This window comes from Homo sapiens, chromosome 1 (genome assembly GCF_000001405.40).
Source record: "Homo sapiens chromosome 1, GRCh38.p14 Primary Assembly".
NCBI classification, from domain to species: domain Eukaryota; kingdom Metazoa; phylum Chordata; class Mammalia; order Primates; family Hominidae; genus Homo; species Homo sapiens.
The window spans coordinates 171,061,609-171,067,608 of NC_000001.11; the positions used below are offsets into that span (position 1 = coordinate 171,061,609).

The 6,000-nt window shown below is 38.5% G+C and overlaps 1 protein-coding gene across 4 annotated transcripts in view; it reads left to right on the forward strand.

Moving 5' to 3' along the window:
• MROH9 (maestro heat like repeat family member 9) overlaps window positions 1–3,157 on the forward strand; it is a 129,232-nt gene extending 126,075 nt beyond the window's left edge. For all 4 annotated transcript variants that reach the window (NM_001163629.2, XM_011510006.3, XM_011510005.3 and 1 more), the window contains 2 exons: window positions 524–586; window positions 2,491–3,157. In NM_001163629.2, coding sequence (NP_001157101.1) covers window positions 524–586; window positions 2,491–2,732 — 305 coding nt within the window. In that variant the 3' untranslated portion in view covers window positions 2,733–3,157. The remainder of the gene's footprint in view (window positions 1–523; window positions 587–2,490) is intronic.
• The last annotated feature ends 2,843 nt before the right edge of the window (window positions 3,158–6,000 follow it).

The window sequence follows — 6,000 nt, forward strand, 5'->3', positions numbered from 1 at the left end:
GTGGTATGATGAAAACAACCATAGATATGTAAACAAATGAGCCAATGTGAATGGCTGTATCTCAAGAAAACTTTATTTGCTAGCCTCTGCCATGTAGCAATGGAAATGAACAAACTATTGCTACATGAAAGAACATGGTTGAATCTTAAAAGGTAATATGAAGCAAAGGAAAGCAGACACAAAAGAATATATTCTGAAAGGTGGAGGAGGAGACTGGGAGAGCCTTGAAGGAAGCTTCTAGGATGCTGCTAAAACTCTATTTAATAACCTAAATGGTAGCCCTGGTGTGTTCCTTTTGTGGTCATTCACTGAGCTGTCCAATATGATTCATGCACATTTATACTCTCATATATCTTTCAATAAACAATTTTATGAGACAATAATTAAAAGTACTAAAAGATGACTCAAGGATAATATAGAGATGCTTTGCTTTGAAAAAAGCAAAGAAGGTAGCCAGATAACATCAGAAAATGTATTTTCATAATGCATGTTGCAGTAACTTTAATTTTTATTATGTGCATAGGATATTTGGCAAAATCAGGTGGTCATTTACTGCTTAGAGATGAAATCGAAGTCATGCTTGATGGTGAGTATTGAGGTTATAACAAAATCTTTATGCATAAATCTAAATACATTTACTATTTTTAATTCTAGTCACATATGAGTTCTGTTAGAGTGCCAGGCCAGACAGGAAGAGGGTGGTGGTAGTAGTAGTTGGATAATTACGGAAGAATCAATGAAAGGACTGGGTTAAGAGGTTTGTTTTTTCTCTTTCTATTCTATTTCCCCTTACTCTCTTTCCCTGTTTCAGTCTCTCCATGTATTCCACTAATTGTCTGAGAACTATCATCCTAGAGCCCTTGGGAACTTCAGAAAGTTGAAAACTCATTTACTCATTCATCTAACAAATATTTTTTAGCATCTCTTATGTTTACGTGACAGCACTATTTACTGCTAGGGACAGAGTTGCAAATAAAGCAGTCTCTTCCCTCAGAGAATTCACATTTTAGTGGATAGCAATGTACAATACATTTGCAGAGGAGGGAATTAAAGAAGGGTAATATTAGTCTATCAAAATGTTTGGGTCTTAGGAATCTCCCTTAGCCTCTGTCTATCGTCCCATCAGGGTAAGAATTACAAATAGTGAGTTATAAAAACAAGTTGGCTGCCTTCCTTCCTTTTTCTTTCTTAATAGACTATTTTTTAGAGCAGTTTCAGGTTCACAGCAATATTGAGCTGCAGGTACAGGGACTTCCCAAGTACCTTCTCTCCTCACCTATGCATAGCCTCCCCCATTATCGACATCCCCCACCAGAGTAGTACATTTATTATAATTCATGGACCTACATTTATACATCATTACCTTCCTTCCTTATTCACTCATCCATTCATTCATTCACTCACTCATTCATTCATTCAACACATATTTGACTACCTGCTAAATGTCAAACACTAGAATTTTCCATCTTTCTTTCTTACAGTCATTTTCTTCTTTCATTCCCCCCATCCTGCTCTTCTCATCTCTGTTTTCTAAATCTCCCCCTTTGTTTCTATTTCTTTTATCGAGAAATAAAATAGTAATTTCTCACAGTCCACTATCTGGATATAATGATATTAACATTTTGGTATATGTATTATCCCGGATTTTTTTTTTTTTTTTTTTGAGACGGAGTCTCCCTCTGTCACCCAGCTGGAGTGCAGTGGTGTGATCTCAGCTCACTGCAACCTCTGCCTCCTGGGTTCCAGTGATTCTCCTGCCTCAGCCTTCTGAGTAAGTGGGACGACAGGCACATGCCACCATGCCCGGCTAATTTTTTGTATTTTTAGTAGAGATGAGGTTTCACCGTGTTAGCCAGGATGGTCTCGATCTCCTGACCCCGAGATCCACCTGCCTCGGTCTCCCGAAGTGCTGGGATTATAGGCATGAGCCACCGTGCCTGGCCTATCCAGGATATTTCTAAAGAATGAAAGCTATTATATATTTTTTTAAACTATCATAACTGCTTTTTAACTTTTTCACTTACCTTTATAATATAAACATCTTTCTAAGCCAAGAAATATGGGCCTACATTATGTTAATATGTATGTAGCATTTCATTTTATGTTCCTAATTTTTAAGCAGTTCCCTGTTAATGAACATTGAGACTGATTTTAACTTTTTCATTATTATGACCAATATGAACCTCTTCCTAAATATATGAATACATGTTTATGTTATCTAGCAGAATGCTCAGCACATAAAAGGTCCTTGGTAATTTTTAGTGAATATTCCCATTTTTCTTTTAATGGGGTCTATGTGGGGTTTTAGTAGGGATAGATGATAAAACTTCCTGAATGCTATCAGCCAAAGTTACAAAATGCAGAGGGAATGCAGAGGAGAGATGGAGAGAAGGGGGCACTCTGTGAAAGGTGGCAGGGCTGTTTAGTATTAAAGCTTCATGGCCTCTAAGAAAGAGATAACTTGAACTAAAGTCTCTTCTGATATTACAGTTATTGAACGACTGCTCCGAGATGAAGACCCTATGATCAAACAGTTGGCTGAAATAACCTATGATATTTTTAAGAAAAAAGCCCATAAACTGACCTCTGCACCTCTTAAACAAAACTTCCAAAAATTGCTTAAATTATTCTACATCAAAAAATTGAAGCCTCTTTACAATTATAACTCACCCAATGGCCAGATAGACAGTCCTACAGACAGTAAAGATGTCAAGAATGATAAGGCCTTATAGAAGAGAATGATGATGACATTCATCATTCATAAACAATGGGAAGTCCAACAATGTCTTGGAGCTGACCTTAGAAGAAGAATGATTTTTCTTTCCCTCCTGACAACTTGAGTCTGTTTGTAGATGCTTTTCTGAAAAATTCTGGAAGCTTTTACTGTTACTTCTTAATTCTCTATTCAAATATAGAAATCTGAGAGAACTAGTGCCTCTGTATGTCTGACAGTGATCAGAAGCCCTATTTCATCAAAACCACTAAGACAATTGAAAATAACATAAGCAAAGTGTTTGATGAGAAGCTCTGGGAACTTGATTCAGTCCGGAAGCTCTACTGAGCACCTTCTAAGTGCCAGATACTGTGTTAGGCAGTGGGGACATTTGGATGATATAGACAAGGTTCCTGATCTCAGGATGGGCACAGTCTAGTGACACATAGTGTGGTCATTTCTATCATGCTGGGAGAAAGACTGCCTAGGGCAGTGTTAACAAAAAAGATATGGAACTTGAAGAAGGGAAAGGGGAGAAGGAAATGTGTTCTGGGTACAGGTATTGAGCAATAAGAGTGTAGGGGAAAGTGGAGGAGTTTGTGGGTACAACTATGAGGAAGAAAGAAGAATGAAAAGAGCTGATACCCAAGGGAAGATTACTTTATGCTAATGGATTTGAGCTTTTTAAAAGAAAGATTGGATAGTCCATCACAGTCAGTACTCGCATTGCCATCAGAATTATAAAACCTCATCAATGATCTTTCTCGACTTAAGGCTCAGGCTTATCCTTCACTCCTCCCACCTTACCTTCTCTGGATCCCCATATCCCCACCTGAGCATAAGCCATTCTAGCCACAGTAAATTACTTGTAATTAGATGAAAGCACTTTTTCTCTGTTAATTCAGATGTAGTGGCATCTGAATTTGTAATGTGGCAACTTGCAGTTCAAGTATGTTTTCCTTTCTTTGCTGGGTCACTTCTCTAGTATTGTATGGCAGCCACTCCAGCTTCCCCTACATTCTCCTTCAGCTTCTCTGACTTCTGGGCCAGGTGAGTTTAGTTTTATTGACAAGGGATTCAGCTTCTCCTGCAAAATACCCACATCATCAACATCAATATTGGAAGCAGTAAGAGATGGACACAATTCTGAGCTTGTGGGTTCTACCTTGTCCTTGGCTCTTCCCATTTCACATACACCTTCCCTCCCAACAGCCTGCCCTGCATATTTCAAGTTCCAGGATCGGATGTGAAGATGACAGATTTCAGAGACTAGACTACTTATACTGCTCCCACAATTTCATATGGTCAAATCCCCAGTTCTGCTTGTGTAGTTGAGTCCTGATGGATATATCTGGGATCCATTTTCTTTCCCTCTTTGATCAAGTTGGGTGGGTGTTGCTCCTATATTTTGCCTTAACACCCTGTGATTATACCTTTCATCGCTTTTATCACACTGTAGTAAAATTATCTATTTCCTTCTCCTTCTGCCTCATAAAATGGAAGTTTCATGAAAGCAACTGTCATATCTTACACTTGGTTGTGTGCTCTTGGGCTCAATGCCTGGTACCTATATATGCTCAGTGAATACTTGCCAAATGAATGAAATGTTGACAAGACATATTACCTTCACACTTCAATAAAAGTTTTTACATATTTATGAAATGTGGAGTAATAAAAAAGACTAGAAATAAAGAATACATAATTTTAATTTATCCCTTAACCCATATTATTTTATATATCCAGGTGTCCCAGATCTCACCTTTCAAAATTAGGGCAAATTTTCATTCTCACCTAATGAACTAGCAGAATACCTAAAGAGGTAGGATGAATAATGACCTCCCCAAAAATATCCAATTCCTAATCCCTGGAATCTGCAGATATTTTGCTTTACGCAGCAAAAGGAACTTAACAGGTGTGATTAAAAATCTTGAGATGGGGAGATAACTTTGGATTATCTAGGTGGGCCCAATGTAATCATAGCGTCTTTATAAGAGGAATATGGGAGGTCAGTGAGAAAGGGGATTCTTGAAGATGCTACACTTCTTTTTGAAGATGGAGGTAGGGTCCATGAGCCAAAAAAATGCAAAGAATACAGGTCTAGGAGCTGAAAAAGGCAAGGAAATGGACTTCCATAGAATTTCCAGTGAGCAAGGGTCCTACAAACATCTTGACTTTGGCCCAGTGAAACCCACTTGGGACACCTGACATCCAGAATTGTATGATAATAAACTCATGTTGTTTTAAGGCCCTGTTTGTGGTAATTTGCTAGAGCAGCAAAAGGAAATTAATATACCTGTATTTCTGCAAAACAAAGAAAACCAAATCAGCCAATACCCATCAATCAACCAGACAGCAACTGGTATAATGGGCCTTATACAAATGTTGATATTTCTTTAAAAGGTCTGATAATCATATTAGACATGATCTTCATCATCTCCTGGTTCTCTCTCCTCTTTCTCCTTTCCATATTTTCTCTTCACCCCACATTTTCCTGATTTCTTCAGGATCTCTGAGTTGTTTTCACTTTACTTGGTAAAACACTCAACTCTCCAGAGGCTTCAACTCCTACTTAGATACCCAGGTCTTCCATATGCTCTGATGACATAAGAGTATCCCTTCAATAGATTTCATCTTCTTTAGGAAATAGTTGTGGTTATGAGCGCCTTTCTTCTTGGCACATCACTGTTATTCCCATTTTTGAAAAGTATAATAATCCTTGAAAGCTTCTCCATTGTTTGCTGGAGTAAGAGAGAAATAGTCAACATGGCCTTTGAGGCCATGCAGGATCTGGCCCTGCATCACTTGCCAGCCTCATGGAACACTCTCCTGCTCACTCTTTGTGCTCCAGAAACACTGGCTTCCTCAACTCCCCATTCTCCCCATGAATTAGGATCTTCACTCATGTTCTTCCTGTGCCAGAAGCACTCTTCCTTTCCCCTCACACAGTCAGTTCCTACCCATCCTTCAAAACCCAATTCAGAACTTATTTCCACAGGAAGCGTCTTTGACCCCATATACCTTTGGAGCACTTACCACAATAACTAGGATAATTAATGATAGAATAAATTAATGGAAAGGTAATTTATCTGCAGTTAGTTGCCTCTACTCTGGCCCTGTTGCTAAAATGCCAGCTCCACAAGATCATGAATTGTGTTTGCTTGATTCACCCCTGTATCCACACAGGCCATAGTAGTATTTAATACATATTCGTCACATGGATAAATGGATAAGTAAACAGACATAGGAGCAGACTTTCTGATACTAGGTGGCTAGATATGTGTAATGGA